This window comes from Homo sapiens, chromosome 17 (genome assembly GCF_000001405.40).
Source record: "Homo sapiens chromosome 17, GRCh38.p14 Primary Assembly".
NCBI classification, from domain to species: domain Eukaryota; kingdom Metazoa; phylum Chordata; class Mammalia; order Primates; family Hominidae; genus Homo; species Homo sapiens.
In genome coordinates, this window is record NC_000017.11 from 50,562,878 (window position 1) to 50,583,438 (window position 20,561).

Sequence of the window (20,561 nt, forward strand, 5' to 3'; positions counted from 1 at the left end):
AAAGCGCCACTTGACAGACGCCTGGCCCCAAGCTCCCTGGCGGGTCCTGCCACCGGGGGAAGGAAAGGTGGAGGGGAGGTGTTGCTGCCATCTCAGGTCTGGACAGCTTCTCTGGGCTCCTTCCTTCCAGCTCAGAGGTTCTTATAGACCCAGGGTGGGAGACCCCAGGTCTCCCTTGTAGCCCCTGTGAGCCTAGCAGGGACTCTGCTTTGGGGAAGGGGGGTGGAAGGTTGGTGCCGCCCTCACTCTCTGCAGCTCTGCTGCCTCTAGTGCGCAAAGCAGGGATGAGCTTGTGGCCCCCCCACCCCCATCCTCTACACCTTGTGGGTCTTTAGGAAGCTCCCCTCATCACATCCTCTTCTCATCCACTGCCCCTTCTTCCTTTCTCTCTGAGCTGCAGAAAGAGAGGTGCAGGCCTCAGAGGTCTGTGTTCTTGCTGAATAGGCACAATCTTGAGGTTTGAGCCCCCAGCCCCAGGCCCCTTTCTCCCAGGCAGGGATGGAGATGGAGAACTGATATGGCTGGAAAGGATGGGTTCCGAGCAACTCTCCTCTCTGCCCCTAATCATTTACCCCTTCCACGAATGGGAAAAAGCATCAACCTCTATGTCCTCCTTCTCAAGGGTCCCAGGGGAGGTAGAGAGAGCTCTTCTCTCCCCTCTCCCTGAAAACAGACCTCTAGGCTAGCATCTCTTCTCGCCTGCCCTATCTCCAGGTGCTAGTGGAGGGTCTGGAGGCAGACTCCTTCACTGAGTGGTCTGGACGGGGGCAAGTGTTGAGGCCTGGCATGGGGGAGGAGAGGTGGGAGGACAGCACTCACCTTGGGAGTTGGGGAGCAGCTTCCCCCAGGGGAGTGGTAGTTGGGTGTGTGGCATCAGCATTACTAGGTCTGGAGAAGCCTGGGTTGGCTGAGGATGGGTTGAGAACAATTTTTTGGCAGGGGACTGCCTAAGCTGTGCCCCTCACCACTGCCATCCTACCCAAGTACCAAGAGACACCTGTATTTTTGCTGCCAGAGGGGCTCTGAACTGCCTCCAGGGCCTCCCTCTTTCTCTTTGTGGTATCTGTGACTCCCCACAGGCTTCAGGAGGGTCCCTGTACGCCTCTGAGCCGGAGGGACATAAGGACACTCCCCTCCACCCCCAACTAACTGAAGCTAGTTAGGCTTTTCTTGGTACATTCTGCTTCTTGGCCTCTCCTTTTTAAGGGACCAGGTTTCCTAGAGAGGAGATCTAGACCCAGGTAGGAAGTGTGTGTGTGTGTGTGTGTGTGTGTGTGTGTGTGTGTTGCAAGGGAGGACAGCAAAAGGCTCAGAAGTGCAAGCTTTGGTGTGGAGAGCAGGGGTACTGGCAGACAGTCACCCCTGCCTCAGATCAGAGGGGAGCATGCTGGCCTTTCCAGTATGTGTTCCTGCAAGTGTGAGGGAGCGCGCTCCCCTCTCGGGGAGGAGTTCCTCCGCATTCCCTCTCTGGCTGTTGTGTCACATCTGGAAGTTTGTGTAGGAGTTTCTCCAAGCTCAGAGCCCAGCACAGCTTTTTCTCATTTGGAAATCACAGGCTGGCATTTGGGATGCCGAGAGAGGGGGAGTGGGAGGGGGGCCAGAGGGGGAGAGGGGAGCCTGCCAGGAGTCGGGGGAGGAGAGGGGGGGGAGGCCTGAACGGCAGGAGCCCTAATGGCTTCCAGAAGTGAGTGTGAGTGAGTGACTGTGCGTCACTCTGTGTGTCTGAGTGTGTCCCTCTAGAGGGGTGGGGGCACAGGAGTTTCTGGAGCCTTCCTTGCCACACTGTCCCAATGCCCCAAGTCTGCCTATTTCTCTTACCTAGGGAGAATTCTCCATTTCTGTCCTCAGAGGAAATGGTGGGGGGAGTGTTCTTCCTGTCTCTTCATCAATTCCCTCCTCCAATTTAATTTCCAAACCCTAAGCTCACCAGAGGAGATTCTGGGGAGAAGGGCTGGGGCTGGAGAATTGAATGGGATTGAGGGGGGGCCAGATCACCCCTTGGCATGCTTTCTGCCCCAGGCCCACTTTCCTTCTGGGTCACACACACATTCCTTCCCACCCGCTCTGCTCCACCGCTCTGCTGGGGGACTCCCCATCACCCGTAGTGCCAGTTGGAGCCATTCCTGGGATTACCCCCACCACACAGCCCCCCCCACCCTCGCCTGCTCCCGCCCAGCACTCACCCCGCCCTGCCTGCCTCAGCCAGGATGGCGACAGACACAACTGCTCACACGCAGACATGCGCACGCGCGCGCACACACACACGCGCACACACACACACAGAGTCACAGACGTTTGAATCAGATTTCTGGCCTATTTCCCCTTCCAAAGATTCCAGCGGGCCGTCTCTCTTGTGTCTCTGTGTCTCATGTCTCTGTCTCTGGGTGGAGCCGGCTGCCTTTCTGTGAGCTTCAGTTTTCAATTCAGCTGGAAGCCTCTCTCCCCCTACACCCACGCACTGAAGCGTGGTGAGGGGGGAACCACAGGGAAATAGGCTTGTGGGGTGGGGCGGGGGGTTCTGCTGGGGGAATCCCCCTTTGAGCTTTGGAGCAGGGCGGAGCCCCTACATCCCATGTTACCCTAGGGGTTGCCGAATCCGATAGACACCAGGAGCCTCTCTGTGGGATGGGTGAGGCAAGGACCTATCCCCCTACCTCCTCATTTACTAGAAGGCCAGGACTCCTGGGTCCAGGCCCATTTTCTCCTCAACGTTCCTTAGTCTCACATTTCCAGGCTCCTAGGTGGGAATGGGGCCGCTGGAGGGCCTGCTTGCCTTCTCAGCCCATGCCCAGAGCCCCTGTGCCCCTAGAGGTGTCCCAGCCACCCCCCTCCTCTCCCTACTTTCCTCACCCTTGCGGCTGCCAGGCTAAGCAAGGGCTCTATCTAGATAAAGCCCCACACAGAGGACTCATTTGTGGAGATAACATGCTCTAGTTCTCTCTCCCAGGAGGGAGGAAAGGAGGAGGGATGGAAGTGGGGTTCCTCTCTCTGCCGTTTCCTTTTTCTCTGCTTTTGATGGTGGGTTGTGGGGAGAAGAAAGATCCTCCCCTCTCCTACCCCCTCTTTGGGATCCACTCCAGCCCGGACAGTCACCATAGCAACAGTAGACATGTGACTGCACAGGTCTCTCATAGTCACTATGGCAACCAGTGTCCCCCGTTCCCTTGGTTACCATGGGGATCTGTCACATGGTTTTCCCCCAACCTGATAACCTGTGGGTCTCCCTGATTCTCCTCCCCTGCATAAGGACAAGACAACAGCCTCAGTCAGGGGAGATCATGTGAGAGGGGTCTTTTTAATTACCATGACAACAAATCCACACCACCTGGTGACACATCCTCCTGTCGTTATGGCAACAGAAGAACATCACACAGTGACATACTGCCATGTTCCCAAGGAAACAAGCCCTACTCTGAGAAGGGTGAAAGACCCCCCCCCCATCAATTATTCCTCTATTCAGAGTGTCCCAAATTGTCGTGTGCCTTGGTCTCTTCCCTGTCCGTTTATGCTTACGTGTCGTGGAAGGAGAGCTGTACAGGGTGGGCAGGATGTTACTTGGAAGTAGGCTGAATTGCCAAGGGACCCTTAAGAAGGGGCTGACATGATCAAGAGCTGTGCATGAGGTTATTCGGGGGCAGGCTTTGCCTGTAAGAGGCCTCCAGTCTGAGCCTGGGTAAGGTGGGGACAGAAAGAGGGGCAACTCCTCTGTGAGGTCACTTCTGTACCTTCCCCCAGTTATAAGCAGTTCACCTCTGTCAAGGGAAACAAGGCAGGAAGACCTGAATGGGGACACACATCTGGCTTCTAGGCAGGGAGACTTATTGATTGGTTGATTCGTTCATTCATTCATTCAGTCTTCCCAGGTATTGATCATCTGCTCCGTGCCAGGCACTACAGCAAGCTCCGTAGGGGATCTAAAGACGTATCAGAATGCCCCTGCCTGTCAGGAGCCCCAGCTCAGCAGGGGAGGTCGACAAGTGCACAGATTACTAACACGGTGGAACTCTGCCATTAGAGGGGTCCAAGCAGATGTCCTGGGAGCCCCTCTTCCTCAGAGATCTACTGCCTCCACACAGAGACATTCACTCACTGGGGCTCCTTCCAGACCCCCCTTTCCCTGCAGAGGAGAGGAGGGGACCTGCATGGGGAAAGCAGACCAGTTCTTGAGGGTAACTGTGTCTTTCCCTTTCCAAATGATGGCTCCCTTCCTGTCCCCCTTTTTCCAGGGTGACCCCTGGCTGACCCCCATTCTGGGGAGAGATCCACTGCACTCCGGCTCTACTCAGAAAAACAATTCCGTGGAAACAGAGCACTTTTTATTTCCTCCCTGTCATCTGCCTACCCCCAAAAACCTAGAACTTTTTTCTTAAACCCTCTTATTCTTGTGAGGGGGTGGGGGTTAGGGAAACTGCAGTGCATTAGGACTCTCGGGGTACCACGGACAGGTGGCGAGCAGGCATGTGAGTCTAGGGGAGAAGGGCCTGGGTGGTGGAGAAGAGACAGGGGAGGGCTGTCAGGGGTTTGAGGGATTCATGGGCTATGGGGGAGGGCATGTGGCTTGGGAGTCAGAACAGAGATGGGCTATGGCTGGGACCAGCTGGGAGGAAGGTCCATAGGTTCCTGAACATTCCTGCTGGCCTCTTCATGCCTGGCCAAAGCCTTCTCATTCCAGAAGCAAGATTCCACCTGCTCTGGGCCCTACAGAGTCTGGCTTGGTGGGTCATGCCAGGAGCTGCCACAATACCTCCCCCATCCCCATTCCCCAGGGGGTCTCTGGTCTCCTTTCCCCAATCTCCTGCTCTCTGATCTTTTCTAGCCTCTTTACTCTTCCCCACCCTTCTCATATTTTCCTTAAAGAAAATAGGATACTTGGTCATTTAACCGTGAGTCCAGTGCCTGGAACCTTCTAAGGTCCGGAGGCCGTTTTGTACATTCTCCTGCTGATGGGCTGGAAATGAGTCACCCCATAGAATCCACTGTATGGAAAGACCCAGGGTTTAGAAAGAACCCCTCTCTCCTGCTTGCTGTTTTGGCTGGTCTGGGCTGGAAGCCACAAGCAGGTGTGATGGCGGCAATGGCCTCTTGGGGGAGGGGGTAGACATTGTCCACTCTGCACGGCTTGGGAGCTATGCCCAGCATGGTGCCTGACACATAATGGGTCCTCAATATTTAAATGTGTGAATATGCCTAGTGGTCATTTGAGGGTGTTGAGAGGTTGGGAGGCTGGTGGTGGAAGAGGGAGCCCCGGGCTCTGGTGCTGTAGCAGCGGGGACTGCAGCTGTGGACGTCTGCCTTACACCTAGTGCCAGGGCGGTCATGACAGGCAGTTCTGCCTGCCTGAGCAGCTATGGTGTGCAGAGGAAACTATCATAGATCAGGAGCTTGGAAACCACCGTCTCATCCTGCCTTCTCGGGTGACCTTCAGCACATGACTTCGGCATTTCTGGGCCTCAACTTCCTCGAGTTCTGGGGAAGAAAATGATCTACCCCAGATATTTCACAGGGCTGTTGTGAGCATCAACTGTGGCATTGTGTGAAAGTGCTTGGTAAACTGTAAGGCAGGCATAATCCGACTTTAGGTTTGTATAACACATTCACATACAGTATCTCATTTGCTTCTCACATCTACCCTGTGAGGTAGGGAGAATAGGATTCAGATTCTGCAGCAAACTCATGGTGTCTGGCATTTCCACAGGCATGATCGATTTATTCCCCAAATGGCTTGTGCAAATAGTCAGGGTATTTGTGGCTTGTCTTCCTTTACAGATGAGGAAGCTGGGTCCAGAGAGGTGAGATGACCAAGGTGGGACTCCCCTTCTCTGATGAGGAGTCTGGGGCTGGGGGCTGGTCTGCGTGTATGTCAGGGCCCTGGCACCACACCTGCTTAGCCTCAGATGGAGCCAGGAGGTAAACGAGGAGGAGGTGTTAGGGCGGGGTCGGGGGGCCGGCCTCAGCTCCAGCCTTGGCCAGCTGTTTCCTTGACTGCCAGTACCTGGTTTGAGCGCATCAGCATGTTGGTCATCCTTCTCAACTGCGTGACCCTGGGCATGTTCCGGCCATGCGAGGACATCGCCTGTGACTCCCAGCGCTGCCGGATCCTGCAGGTGAGTGTGTGTGTGTGTGTGTGTGTGTGTGTGTTGTGTGTGTTGGGGGTTGGCCCCTCTTAATCTTAATACCCTCTACTCCTCTGCAAGAGGCCCTGACCCAACTGGTGGGGACTAGGGTGGGACTAGAGGGTATTCCCTCACCCACGTCTCAGTTTCAGCCACCTCTTGTCCCCACATCAGGCCTTTGATGACTTCATCTTTGCCTTCTTTGCCGTGGAGATGGTGGTGAAGATGGTGGCCTTGGGCATCTTTGGGAAAAAGTGTTACCTGGGAGACACTTGGAACCGGCTTGACTTTTTCATCGTCATCGCAGGGTGAGGACCTGGGCTGGGGTGGGAGAGCAATGGATCAGATCGGTCCCTTCCCCGGGGCCAGGGTTCTGGGCCTGTGACCTCTCAGCTCCAGCCCAGTTACAGCACCACTTTCTCCCTGGCTATCTCCTGAGGGTCTGAGGCTGCCCTGCCTCTAGCACTGTAGCCTATATTCTAAATTCCAAGGCCCTATTCCTAATTCTGCCCCCTTCTCTGATGGGCAATCTGTCCTTGTCTCGGGGTAGCCTTGCCCCCCAGACAGAGAGCCGGATCTTCAGGGTCCCTTGGTGAAGAAGAAGAAGGAGTCAGAGGTCATCCTGCTGCCCCTAAAGCAGGATTCCTCATTGACCTCTTTTGACCCCACTGTGGCCTCAGACTCAAAGGGCCTCCCTTTGGGCCCCTCCCTGCAGGATGCTGGAGTACTCGCTGGACCTGCAGAACGTCAGCTTCTCAGCTGTCAGGACAGTCCGTGTGCTGCGACCGCTCAGGGCCATTAACCGGGTGCCCAGTGAGTGACCCCTCAGCCCTCAGCCCCTGAAGAGAGCCCCAGGAGGAAATGTGGAACTCTCAGACCCCACCTCTACTACTGTGTCCTCACCTGACCCCTCACAGGCCCCGTCAGAGAAGGGCTCAGTGGGGAGCTGGGATTGCTGGAACAAAATGGAACTCCTGAATGTGGCACTATGGGAGTTACCTGGGAAAACCCCACCTCATTTTAGCCTGGCTTTAGGTCAGAGTCTCAGAAACATCTCAGATGACCCTCTTCCTTCAGCTAGATGACCACTCCCCCCAGGAGGATAGGGGTGTGGGGACTGGAGAGGCTGACAGGCAAGGAGTGGACGCAAAGTGCTAATGGCCTTTTCTAGCCAGAACAGCCTCTCATGCAATCTGGTTCTTGCTGGTGAGACACGCTGGCCACGCTGAACGTGACTTCTCTCAAGACAAGGCCACTCCATGTCTCACCCTCCGCCTCTGTCCCCTTCCTCCTTCCCGCCCCCTTCCAACCCATTGCAGTAACTGCCGGGCCCATTATCTAAATTAAACTGCATTGGTTTCTGGAGCCAGCGAGGCTTTGGCAGCTCTAGTTCTCCCTACATACTGCCCCCTCCCTTTGCTCAGGCCCCCTTTGCAACTCCCCAACCTACACAAGCTGCAGATGGTCCCTGCTGTGGTCCTAGGAGTGGGGTGGTTGGCGAGGAATGCATGTTTCTGGGGCTCAGTGCCTGTTTGTGTACCTGATGTAGCAGCAGCCCCCTGCGCTCTGTGTGTGTGTGTGTGTGTGTGTGTGTGTGTGATGTTGCTGCTGCCCCTGGGAGGGCAGAGCTGTTGAATGTGTCCTCTGGGGCTCGGGGTGTGTTGGTGTTAACAGGAGCTCCAGAAGAGGGGCATGCCTCGCCTCCTCTCCCGCCCCAGGTGATGGCTGGCAGATTTATAGGCCTCTGTCTAACCACCGGTGTAATTCCCTTAATGCAAACCCTGAGGAATTGATCTCAGTTGGAGCACAGAGAAGCTGAAGGGGGATGGGGTAGGAGGAGGGGGAGGGAGACTGAGTGAGAAAACTGGGCTGGCAGGGGCGAGGCTGGGCGCTGCAGTCACCAAGAGGGTTAATTAGCTGCTGCTTAGCAGCTTTTGCCCTGGAGGGGCCAGGGGGCCATAGATGGCACTTTGGGGGTGAAGCCAGCCATTAGAGATCTGTCTGCTTGACGAGGGCTTGGCGGACTGGGGGCTGGTTCAGACCATTTGGGCCGGTTGGGTTCTAGACCTGGAGTACGGAGAGAGGGAAGTAACCCTAACAGGGCTTTTGAGGAGGGGGTTTCAGTGGCTTTCCCTATGGAGGGGGTTGTAAATTGATGGACTTCTGAGAAGACAGTATTGTATCTCTTCAGGTCCTGATTTGGGGATCTGGACCAAGCAGGGAATAGTTTCAGGGAAGCAGGGCTCAGAGCCATAGTGAAGCACAGGGCATCTTGGCCCCTGCCTAGGAGCTGGCTCTCAAAATGAGATTCCTGCCTGCTGTCATTCCTCCTGGAGTTCGCTGCCTCAGTTTCCCTAATGACTCTGGTGGTGATAACTTAGAAAGGTCAAGTGACTGTGCCTGTTGAGAGAAGGAAGTAGGTAGGGAGTGTGCGTGTGAATGTGTGCGGGTGTGGGTGTGTGTTGGAGAGGGATTCGGAAGCCAAAGCCTGGGTTCGAGTTCCGGCACCTACACTTAGCAGCTGTGTGATACTGGGTGAGTCAAGTCATTTCTCCAAGCCTCAGACTTCTCATCTGTGAATTGGGAGTGATATTATCCACATGTGATGATGTTGGGAGAGTTAGGAGGGGCCACAGTTTCCCCAGCTCACTGTTGGTGGTACTGTGCAGATTACCGTGGGCAAGCCACAAGGGGAAGTGGGTCGGGGCAAGGGGCTGCAGAGGCTATCTGGGGAGTCAGAGGTGTCTGTTGGTCTCCCCTCCAGCTTGAGCCGGGCCGTCTCAGCCTCAGAGTCCCTGGTGGGGCCCCTCCGGGAGTGCTGCCGGGCCGTGGCAGTCAGCCTAGCCCGGCCAGCCTGGTGTCCCCAGCGTGGCTTCTGCCCCCACAGGCATGCGCATCCTTGTCACGTTGCTGCTGGATACGCTGCCCATGCTGGGCAACGTCCTGCTGCTCTGCTTCTTCGTCTTCTTCATCTTCGGCATCGTCGGCGTCCAGCTGTGGGCAGGGCTGCTTCGGAACCGATGCTTCCTACCTGAGAATTTCAGCCTGTGAGTGGTGGACAGGGTCCAGGGAGGACCTGGGAGTGGTTATGGGGCTGGGCACCCCCCCAAGTTCCTCACTTCCGGTTGCTACTGACATATCTGTTCTAACATCTGAGACATATCTGGTTCTCAAACTTGGCTACCCATTGGAACCACCTGGGGAGTTTTAAAAAGTACTGATGCCTGGGTGCCACCTCCAGAGATTCTGATTTCATTGCTCTGGGGCTCAGCTTGGATGTAAGGATTTTTTCAACCCCTCCAGTGATCCTAACTTGCAGTGAAATTTGAAAATCACTATTCCAGGATGTGACCTTCCAACATCCTGAGTCTGGAGTTTCCCCACTCAGGCCTCATGCTCCTGGTGCCCACAAATCCCTGCCCTGCCCAGTCCCTTCCCCATTCTTGGTTCTGCCCTGCTCACCCTATATGCCTCGAGCACTCGTGCCATCTCTCCCTTCCTGGGCCCTCTCCCTGGAGAGCCCACTCCCCAGTCTCACCCCTGTTCCCCTTCCCATCCTGCAGCCCCCTGAGCGTGGACCTGGAGCGCTATTACCAGACAGAGAACGAGGATGAGAGCCCCTTCATCTGCTCCCAGCCACGCGAGAACGGCATGCGGTCCTGCAGAAGCGTGCCCACGCTGCGCGGGGACGGGGGCGGTGGCCCACCTTGCGGTCTGGACTATGAGGCCTACAACAGCTCCAGCAACACCACCTGTGTCAACTGGAACCAGTACTACACCAACTGCTCAGCGGGGGAGCACAACCCCTTCAAGGGCGCCATCAACTTTGACAACATTGGCTATGCCTGGATCGCCATCTTCCAGGTGGGGCAGCCTGGGCCCCGGGAGCTTCCCCAGAACACCAGCCCCAGGACACAGCCCAGGATCGGAGTGGTCGCTCTCAGGGTTGGGGTGGGGGTCAAGGCCTCTGGAGGAGACTGAAGGAGGATTTGGTGGGCCCATAGTCAGCCTGCCCCTCTGCACCCCCTAGGTCATCACGCTGGAGGGCTGGGTCGACATCATGTACTTTGTGATGGATGCTCATTCCTTCTACAATTTCATCTACTTCATCCTCCTCATCATCGTGAGTGACTCCTCAGATCCCCGTGGGGATGGGCGATCCTGGGGACACCTGTGGGGGCAGTCCAGAGAGGGGATAGTTTGCTCTGTCTGAAGTTTTTAGCTCTCAGGACAAGTCCTGTAGAGAGGGCATCCATCATATAGTAGGAGGGACACCAGATGCAGAGTCAGGAGGAAATCCAAGGTCAAGGCGGGACTTAACTGCTATTGGGACCTTGGGCAAGTCATTCTCCATGAGGCCTCCAGCACTGCTCTGGGCCTCTGTTTCTTCATGGGTAAAATGAATGGTTCTCAACCTGAGATGATACCACCTCTCCCAGAGGGCATTTGGAAATGGGAAAGGGTGATTCTGGTTTTGATTTTTTTTAATAGCTTTATTGAGACATAACTCACATATCATTCAATTCATCCCTTTGAATGAATCCAGTGGTTTTTTAAGCATGTTTACAGAGTTCTGTTTTTTTGTAAGGACAAGGGGAGTGCAATTGGCAATTTGTTACTGGGGGAGGGGAGAGAAGCTAAACATCCTGAAATGCTTGCAAATAAAGAATTATTCTACCCAAAATTCTGATCAGTGATCAATTGGTGTTAAATGCTGCCTGATCTCTTATTCCTGCCAGTTCAGAAATTGCCAGACTTTAAGAAGGCAGAAGACGGAGGCAAAAGCAGCAATATTTAATAGTTTTAATCACTACCATTCATAGTTAATAACTTCATCGCCACCACTTTGAGCTAATATTTATTGAGCACTTACTATGCGCCAGCCCCTGATCTAAGCACTTTCAATGTGCTGGTGCATTTAATCCTCACCGTGATCCTCTCCATTTTACAGATGAGGAAACTGACATTTCCTCATTTATCTGACCCTACCAGACGCTTTGCCTATGCTGTGTATTAATCTCCAAGAGTGGGGCATCACTGCTGACGTATGCTGTAACATCTGCTGCCTGTTTAATCCTCGTCGTCCCCTGTGAGGTGCCAGGGCAGGGATTGTGGTCCCCATCTCTTAAATGAGAATTCAGCGCCCCAGAGGGTGGGTCACTGGGCCAAGATCACACAGAAAGTAAGCGGCTGGGGCTGAGAATTCAGTCCCAGGCTAACGACTCCACATTCAGCCTTTCTTCCATGTCACCAAGAGGCCAACGACAGAGCCAGACAGAGGGACAGACATTGAGAGAAAGAGATTAAGAAAGATTAAGATCTACTCAGGACCTAGGACTAGCTCCAGAGAGAGATGAAGACAAAATAAGGCAGCTCCTTGTGAGAGACAGAGGGTAGGCCCTGAGAAAGAGCAAGTCCCCAAGGCCACCTCATTCTGCCTGCGTAACTTCCCCTGGTGCAGAAGAGTGGGCAGGCTTGGGGCGAAGCCTGACTGGAGGCCTGTTCCCATCCCTGGCCACCACCTCAAGGGGTGAGGCCAGTGCTTCAGGGAAGTGGGGTCTTCTCACCATGTGCCCCCCCCACCCCCACTCCCTTTCCCTCCTGGGCTTGGGAGAGGGGGAAGGAAGCAGACAGGGAGATAAGGGGCCTAGTTTCCACCCTCCCACACACCCCCTGAAAAATCTTTCCTAACAGCTCTCTGGAATCACACTAGTGAAGCTAATTATCATAATTACTAGGACACGATCTAGAAAAAAAAAATCTGCTTTGTCACCATAAATATTCATTTCCTTCATTTGGGATTGTTGTCCAAGCAATGGCTGTTCCAGAGTTCTGGGGAAACTGAGGCGTGGAGATGGGGACTGGGGTAGTGTGAGCAAGTCAGGTGGCAGCCTGACTAGTCTGTAGGGTCAAGGGTTCAGCCCCTCCCACATCTGAGGGAGGGGGGCACAGGGAAAATGGGGACAGACAAGGCCAATGGTCCCTGTTTTCAGATGAGGATATGAGGTCCCATGGCTAAGGGTCTCTCGCCCAAAGTCACACAGCTAGAATTGGGGCTAGAAGCAGGAGTCTTGTAAATGATGTTTTTGTCAAGATCTCAAGGCTCAATATAATTTGAAAACCCCATGTCCCTAATATTGCGTTCATTTCCACAGCATTCGCTACTCCTAATGGAAATTGCGGAAGGGGTGCTGCGTCTCTGCAGGTGTGCGTGTTTAGGGACAGGGAATTTGAGAGATTGCAGGATAACACCATGTTCAATAGCAATATCTTGGAATTTCATAGAGCTTGGTTCCAGTCTTAGCCTTGCTCTGAATTAGCTGAGTGATCTTGGGCAAATGTTTGACCTCTGTGGACCTGAGTTTCCTTACCTGTCTGATGGAGATTACAATAGCATCACCTCCTGAGGCTGTCTTAAAAATAAAATGAGATAATGCTTGGAAAATAACTGAGCGTGGCGCTTGGCTCATAGGAATGCCTCCGTATGTGGTGGCTGGCATTGTGATTCACTTTTCTTCAGGACATTTCCTCTTCCTGTCCCCACCCCTACAGGTGGGCTCCTTCTTCATGATCAACCTGTGCCTGGTGGTGATTGCCACGCAGTTCTCAGAGACCAAGCAGCGGGAAAGCCAGCTGATGCGGGAGCAGCGTGTGCGGTTCCTGTCCAACGCCAGCACCCTGGCTAGCTTCTCTGAGCCCGGCAGCTGCTATGAGGAGCTGCTCAAGTACCTGGTGTACATCCTTCGTAAGGCAGCCCGCAGGCTGGCTCAGGTCTCTCGGGCAGCAGGTGTGCGGGTTGGGCTGCTCAGCAGCCCAGCACCCCTCGGGGGCCAGGAGACCCAGCCCAGCAGCAGCTGCTCTCGCTCCCACCGCCGCCTATCCGTCCACCACCTGGTGCACCACCACCACCACCATCACCACCACTACCACCTGGGCAATGGGACGCTCAGGGCCCCCCGGGCCAGCCCGGAGATCCAGGACAGGGATGCCAATGGGTCCCGCCGGCTCATGCTGCCACCACCCTCGACGCCTGCCCTCTCCGGGGCCCCCCCTGGTGGCGCAGAGTCTGTGCACAGCTTCTACCATGCCGACTGCCACTTAGAGCCAGTCCGCTGCCAGGCGCCCCCTCCCAGGTCCCCATCTGAGGCATCCGGCAGGACTGTGGGCAGCGGGAAGGTGTATCCCACCGTGCACACCAGCCCTCCACCGGAGACGCTGAAGGAGAAGGCACTAGTAGAGGTGGCTGCCAGCTCTGGGCCCCCAACCCTCACCAGCCTCAACATCCCACCCGGGCCCTACAGCTCCATGCACAAGCTGCTGGAGACACAGAGTACAGGTGAGAACTCTGGGTGGAGGCATGTGGGTGCCCTCGTCTGGGGACTGGGTGGCGTCCCAGAGGGGACTAGGGGGTCTGGAGTCAGAGGGACCAGGGCTTATATTCTCATGCTGCCTCTCATGGCTTAGGCACCTTCAACCAGTCACATCCCTGCTATGAGCTCGAATTTTCTCATCTGCTAAAGTGGAACTCATAATTCCTACATTGTAATAGCAGTAACTATCATGTAATAAGCACCTGCTTCGTGCTGTTTGCAATGATGTCTAGCAACTGTTGCACACAGCAATGGCTGTGTGCCTGTCACATGCTTTGCGGGCAAAATTCCATTGGATCCTCTCTACCCATTAAGTGATAGGCTTTCTTAGCATCCCCATTGTGTGGATGAGAACCAGGAGGCTTGAGGGGATTGCATGACTTGCCCAAGGCTTTGCTATTGGTGAGGGGCGGACTCGGGGCCCGCACTCGGGACTCCTTGTTGTGAGGCTCAGAGAGGAAATGGTGTGTGACTGTGCCCAGCTTCATGCCCCACTGGCTAAACCTGAGTCTCATTGCCTCCGCACAGGGAGACCCAGTTCAGGGAGCTGCTTGTCTGATGGGTGACACTCCCAGTGTCGTGGGGGCAGTGAGACACATAGGGACGTCGGGCTCTCCCCAGCAGACAGGTTCACTGTAGCTGCAGCCCACGGCCTGTGTTTCAGGAAGGATGTGGCACGTGGGGAGCAGCGGGATATTCGTGGGGATGTTACGTGGGAATGTGGGCTGGGACCAGAAGGTGCTATCACAGAACCCAGAGCGAAAGGTTTCTATGCCAGCTCCTCCACTACCCTGCCACGGGACGTGGGCCAGTCACATGCACCCACGTTTTTATTTCCTCCTGTGTAAAAGGCAAGGCTGGGCCCATAATTACTCTCAGTGGGTGCTTACTGACTCCCTCCTGTGTGCAGATGCAGTCAAGGGAGAAATGTCGCTGAGAGCCCACCTGGGGCCAGGCCCTGAGCGGGGGGCTTCCACATCCATGCTTTACCTGGTACTCTCTGAGGTTCTCATATTCTGTGATCAAAGCTGGATTTAAAGGGACATTGATGTCTTGGGCTAGGTCCCTGAGTGTGTGCGCACGAGTGCATCTAGTATGCGTGTATGCGTCTATGTCCATGAAGGGGTCCAGTGTGTGTGTGTGCGTGTGTGCATGCACGTGTCTGGTGTTCATATGCATATGTGTGCACATGTGCTTGATGTGTGTAGGTGCATGTGCGATGTGAAGCTCTTTCCTTGGTGTGTGTGCATGTGTGCATATGTCTGGCATATGTGCCGTGTGTGAATGTGTTTGTGCACACATGTGTTGGTATGTGCATGTATGTGTGCCCATATGGTGGTGTCCAAATAGTATACATGTGTACACGAGTGTGCGCATCTGGAGCACGTGTGCAGGTGCACGTGTCTGGTGTGGGTGTGTGTGCAAGTGCACGTGTGTGGGCGTGTCTTAAGGATCCCATGGAAAGTGCTGCTCAGAACAGTGTTGATGTAGTCCTGGCTTCTGGGAAGGGGAAGGGGAGCGAGGCTCCTTGCTGAAGGCACCTAGGATATAGGAGCTGTCCAGGACCTCAGAGGACATCCAGGCCACCTCTCTGAGCCCCAGGACACTCAGCAGTGACTGTCAATGAAGTGCTATTGACATTAGGGCATCTTGTGGGTCAAGACTGCCCACCTTGCCTGACATTCAGCACCCCTGGCCCACTAAGTGCCTAGCACCCCATCACTGTAACAACCCCAGACTCCCTGACTCATTTTACACATACTCACAGGGCAGGGTAGCCCCAGGTACGAGACTCTGGAGCCTCTCACCTCTACTCTCCTGTTCCAGGTGCCTGCCAAAGCTCTTGCAAGATCTCCAGCCCTTGCTTGAAAGCAGACAGTGGAGCCTGTGGTCCAGACAGCTGCCCCTACTGTGCCCGGGCCGGGGCAGGGGAGGTGGAGCTCGCCGACCGTGAAATGCCTGACTCAGACAGCGAGGCAGTTTATGAGTTCACACAGGATGCCCAGCACAGCGACCTCCGGGACCCCCACAGCCGGCGGCAACGGAGCCTGGGCCCAGATGCAGAGCCCAGCTCTGTGCTGGCCTTCTGGAGGCTAATCTGTGACACCTTCCGAAAGATTGTGGACAGCAAGTACTTTGGCCGGGGAATCATGATCGCCATCCTGGTCAACACACTCAGCATGGGCATCGAATACCACGAGCAGGTAGGAGAGTGGGCAGAGGCAGGGCTCCTGCCAGCTGCTTTTCGCCTGGGGCTGGGGCCTTCTACCTCCCTCCGCACCCCTCCTCCTGAGCTCAGCTTCCTCTCCATGCTGCTAGCCCACCTGGCAGGTAGGAGGGGAGGTGGGTGATGGAGCAATGCATGGGGATTCTCTAGAGGGAGTGCTTAAAGTCTCTGAGTATGGAGGTCGCCTCAGGTAGGCCACAGGGTATGTTCTACCCAGGAAGGCTGCTCAGAGGAGGCTGGCTTTGAAGGATGTGAACAAGTGGTGAGCATCAGCATGTGGGGAGAGGCGCGTCACTGGGAGATGTTTGGGTCTTTGGAGAAGGTGTAGTGCGGAGGGCGGGTGTTGGAGGTCCTGTGGCATCCATCTGACCCACTAAGTCCGGGTGTGACTGATTGGAGGCAGGAGGGGCCATGTAAACAGGGGTGCAGAGGGGAGGGTTGGTGCCTGCGCCTGGGTGGAATGAAGGCCTGTTGGGGTCAGGGAGGGAGGCAATCTTTCCTGGCCTCCCGTCTGGGAGCCGTGCTGTGAACCAGGGCAGCTCAGGGTGGATGAGAGTGCCCAGCATGGCAAGGGGACTTGAAGCCATCGCGTTTGAGGAATGATTCTAAGAACCGGGATGTTTAGTTAGGAGGAGCAAGGGCTCAGCAGGGACAGGCAAGCTGTCTTCAAATATTTGAAGGGCTGTCATGTGGAAGAGGAAGCAGGCTTGTTTTGTGGGGCTGATGGCTACAAGCAATAGGATCTGGGCTGAGGGGGAGGAGGCTTTTCTAACCCTCAGAGCTATGCAGAGATAGAAAGGGTAGCCTGGGGGACCCCACTGATCCCCCATCATGAGCTGAAGATGCCCGCTTGTTGGGGGTCCAAGCAGGCACCATGGGTCCTCACAACTGGGTTTGGCTCCCTCTTCCACAGGGTTCTTTCCAGAAGTCGCTCCCCCTCCCCCCAGTCTGGCCTTTCAGGTCACCCCTGTGGCTGATTCTTGGAAAAGGAGAGAGGCTAGCAAGCAGGTGCTGCAGTTCACGGTCCTCCCAGGCTCTGTTCTCCTGGGTGTTCTGGCCTCCCTGGGGTAGCACGGAGGCACTGGGCCATCAGAACCCAACCTTCCCTGGTTTGGAACGAAGGCCATGCACCTCCCCACCTCCGCACCCTCCCAATCAGGAGCAGAGGCGGAGGGGGCCAGTGGTGTGGAGTGGCTCTTACACCAGCACAGCACCCTGTGAAAGGGGCATCTCAAAAAGGTGGTACAGGCAGGGTGGTACAGGCATGCTGGGAGGTCTGGGTTGAGGCTGAGGGGCACAGGTCAAGCCGGGTCTGGAGCAGACAGTGAGGTGTTCACTTTTCCGGGGGATTCGAAGCCCGCCCCCACACCACTGACCTCTGCACCTGCAATATTTCGAGCACCCAGCTTTTACCCAAGACTGCTCGACCTGGCCAGGTGCACCCCTCCCCATCACCATCACACATTGGCGTCCCTTCCTCTAACCTCCACAGGGCCCCCTCCAAGCAGCCATGAGGTGGAGAGAGAGTGGGACCCTGGCTGCAGTGCCAGCGGGTGGGCGCACTTGACACCACGGTGGGCATGTTGTGTCTGGGCTACGTGGGTGTGGGTGTGTGTGCACATGCCAACTCTGCCAGCCTCCCAGGGAGAGGTGCTCCACTCTGCCAGATTGGTGGCAGTGGGGGGTGGGCAGCATTTTCTGCTTCCGGGACCCAGGTGGTGACAGCCCCTAACCTCCCATTACTCAGGCTCCCTGAACCTCAGCCTCCTTTCCCTCACCCCTGTTCCGGCCATGGTCAGGTGCCCCTCCCCCAGGGGGCACCTCCCCAGTGCCCCCTCCCTACCCCGGGGGGAGCACCCAGCAGTCCCTGCCCAGCCGATGCTGCTGGTGGAGGTTTTGATTGCACTGGGAAGAAGCTGAGTCACACAGACCCAGGGCAGATGAAGCCTTGGTAAGAGGGCTTTCAGTTAGATGTCAAGAAGGACGCCCCTTTGGAGAGAAGGCAGCAGCCGTCAGTCAGGGGTGCCTGCACCTTCTTCTTGCTCAGGCTCCTGAGGAAGGGCGGAGACAGCCCAGGGCTCCCACTAAGTCCTCAGCAGCAGGGAGGCCTCACTCAGTGACAGCAGTGTCTGCTCCAGGGAGGGTTTTGTCCGCATACCTGGTGCTGAGGGCCCCATGGGGGTGAGCGGGAGTCCCCAGCAGGCTGGGCAGATGACTGACAGCTGTCCAGCGGGCTCAGGGGTGCGGAGAGTAAGAAGTCCCAGAAGCTGCCATGGCCCTGTGCTTGCAGGCACTGCGGCGTGAACGTCCCGCCATCTGGGCCCTGGAGCCTGAGCAGGCTGGGAGTGGGGGGTTGCCAGGGAAGGCAGCAAGGAGATGTGGGGGGCTGAGACAGAGACACAGAGTGGGCACAGAGAGGGAGACAGAGACACATGGGGGAATGGGGACACAGAGGGAGACAGAGAGGAGACTGATGGGGGCGAGACAGAGGCACGGAGGGCAAGATGGAGACGGGGGAGGAGGGCAGGAAGAGAGACGCGCAGGCAGGGGAGAAAGGATATGGAGGGAGAGATGAGCCACAGCGGAGACAGACAGAGACAAATGGAGCCACAGAGACACACAGGGAGACAGAGACACAGAGAGGGAGCTGAAGACAGAGACCGAGTCCCAGATGCAAATGAGGGCAGAGACGGGGTGGGATGGGGAGACAGAGACTCCCCTGGAGCTGGCTGCATGAGGAGGCTCACGGCTTCCCTGCGGTGCCCTTAATGAGGCAATTGTGTCCATTGATCCCGGAATCGATTGGATGGGGGGGCGGGCACTGGAAAGGGTGTTGCTGGTGCTTTGCCAGAGGAGGAGTCCCTGCCCTCCCTCCTGGCCGTCACCGCTGCCCTCCCCAGGCCCTGTCCTCTCCCACCATCCCCTGGCTGACTCATCATTCGCTTGTCCCGTCCCCCCAACCTGCGCTACCCCACCATCCTCCTGACTGAGGAAGCACCTATATGTGATACCCCACCCCGCCCGGGGCTGGCCCCATGCTGTCCTCTGTCTCCTGCTTCCTCCACCCCTTAACCACCAGCTGGAGGAGAACTGGCAGGATTGGGTTTGCCCAGAGGGCTGGTGAGAAGGACAAGAACCCAGGAGACTGAGGAGAGAGCAAGAAAATGACCTGATGTCGAAGTGTGATCTGATATGGGGCCAGCCTACATGTGTGCCCCATCCGCTCAGGGCGGTACATGGAGTCCAGAACCTTTTTCCAATTCATCCTTTTGCACTGGAGTTGGGCCTAAGCAGTGATTTGCTGGTAAATGATTAACAACTAGCCCTTCTAAAATAATAAAGTCCTGATCTGTAGCATTTGCCAATTTCCATGGTGTAAATGCTCCCACCATAGCTGGTTTTAAGCTACCAACACGATTCCACCGAATGTGGGGTTGGGAAGAGACGTGGACAATTGGTTCTCCCAAGCCAGTGAGAAACAGCTCCAGCACGCCACTGGGCCCAAGGCACTGTCCTTCTTTTTAAAGAGGTCACAACAAGTAAACGGTCATATTTACTTGATGTGGCACATGCTCAGAGAGGGATACGTGGAGGAGGAGCCCTTAACCCAGACCAGAGAAGGAATTCAGGGAGGGCTCCGTGTAGGAGGTGACCTCTGGGCTGAGTCTGAAGGAAGAGTAGGACATAGCCAGTGAAGGTGAAGGGCAGGGCACAGTATGAGGGCTCCGGCAGTGGTCCAGGCAGTTCATACTACATCTTCATCCCTGGAAATGGAGAGCAGAGGGCTGGGGAGAGCTGGCTGGTAGCTGGATCTGCAGGACCCAATCAGTTGGAAACATGGGTTGAGAGGAGGCAGCAAGGATGACTCCCAGGTTTCTACCTGGGGTGGGAGCAATGTGGCTTGAGCAGATGTGGGCTGGGAGACATGTTGCATACAAGGTGCCTGCGGGCCATCCTGACCATATCCAGCAGGCTGTCGGAGCTCAGAAAAGAAGTTGCCTTCTCTTCTGTGTCCTGCCTGGCTCTGCACTGGGGCCAGACCTCTCCAGGAAGAGGGGAGTGCAGGAGTGGGGCCTTGGAGACACAGGAGCTTCCTAACATCTCCTTCCTGGCTCTGGGTCATGGTGGGGTGGGGGACAGGTGCTAGTCTAATGTTCTAGAAGAGGGACAACAGCATATGGGGAGAGGGGAGCTACATGTAGCCCAGTGGTCTCCTGGGCTGTAGACGGGGAGAGGAAGGGGAGGGACCAGGGTAGATGGCCTTGCAGGCTGAGAGAGGACAGGGCAGGTGATGACTCTGCTCATTGCTCACACTCTGGGGCCATCCTGTCACTCCAGATACATGTCCAGAGAGGGTTTCTATTTATAAGTGAGTGAGTTTGGCTGTTCAAGGCGAGAGAAGCTGGGGGTGGGGCAGGAGGAGGTGGTCCAGATATGGTAAGTCTGAACTTTGAAGGAGGTCATAGACTCCTTTTCAGTTCTGCTGAAGGCTGGGGACCCTCTCCCCAGAAAATCCCCATATGCCTGGACACCCTAAATGTGGCCTTTGAGGGCAAAGGTTGATGGACACCTCCCACCCCAGCCAGTCCCTTGGTCTCCAGATAGAGGAGCCCTGGCTGAAGAGCTAGGGCTGAGGACCAAGCAGAGCTTTGGGGGATGATCCTTTGCAGCTGACTGGCCCCAGACATTCAAAGGCTATCTGGTGTGGGAGGGAGAGGGGCATTGTTTTGGAGATGTCTGCTAAGGTGTTCTCTTGTTCTTTTAGGCATCCCCTGGCTCCAGGCTCTCCCAGTTCTGCAAACAAGGGGAGCATATCCTGTGCACAGCACACTAGAATAGAATATTAGAATA

General features: G+C 55.8%; 1 protein-coding gene across 35 annotated transcripts in view, besides 1 other annotated feature; it reads left to right on the forward strand.

Moving 5' to 3' along the window:
* The window catches only part of CACNA1G (calcium voltage-gated channel subunit alpha1 G), a 66,760-nt gene that overhangs the window by 2,163 nt on the left and 44,036 nt on the right, over nt 1-20,561 (forward strand). For 34 of the 35 annotated variants that reach the window (NR_046055.2, NR_046054.2, NR_046056.2 and 31 more), the window contains exons 2-9: nt 5,993-6,104; nt 6,288-6,421; nt 6,829-6,926; nt 9,001-9,160; nt 9,677-9,977; nt 10,144-10,236; nt 12,666-13,449; nt 15,311-15,687. Coding sequence is in view for 30 of the 35 variants with exons in the window: in NM_001256325.2 (NP_001243254.1) it covers nt 5,993-6,104; nt 6,288-6,421; nt 6,829-6,926; nt 9,001-9,160; nt 9,677-9,977; nt 10,144-10,236; nt 12,666-13,449; nt 15,311-15,687 (2,059 nt within the window). In the remaining 5 variants the exon portion in view is untranslated. The remainder of the gene's footprint in view (nt 1-5,992; nt 6,105-6,287; nt 6,422-6,828; nt 6,927-9,000; nt 9,161-9,676; nt 9,978-10,143; nt 10,237-12,665; nt 13,450-15,310; nt 15,688-20,561) is intronic. The other variant, XM_006722161.5, reaches the window with a different exon arrangement.
* Nucleotides 6,376-7,362: an enhancer, noted in NCBI's record as "H3K4me1 hESC enhancer chr17:48646614-48647600 (GRCh37/hg19 assembly coordinates)". NCBI's record gives its function as "activates a minimal SCP1, AML or CMV promoter by ChIP-STARR-seq in primed H9 embryonic stem cells {active_cell/tissue: H9 hESC(primed)}" and the evidence as "EXISTENCE:reporter gene assay evidence [ECO:0000049][PMID:30033119]".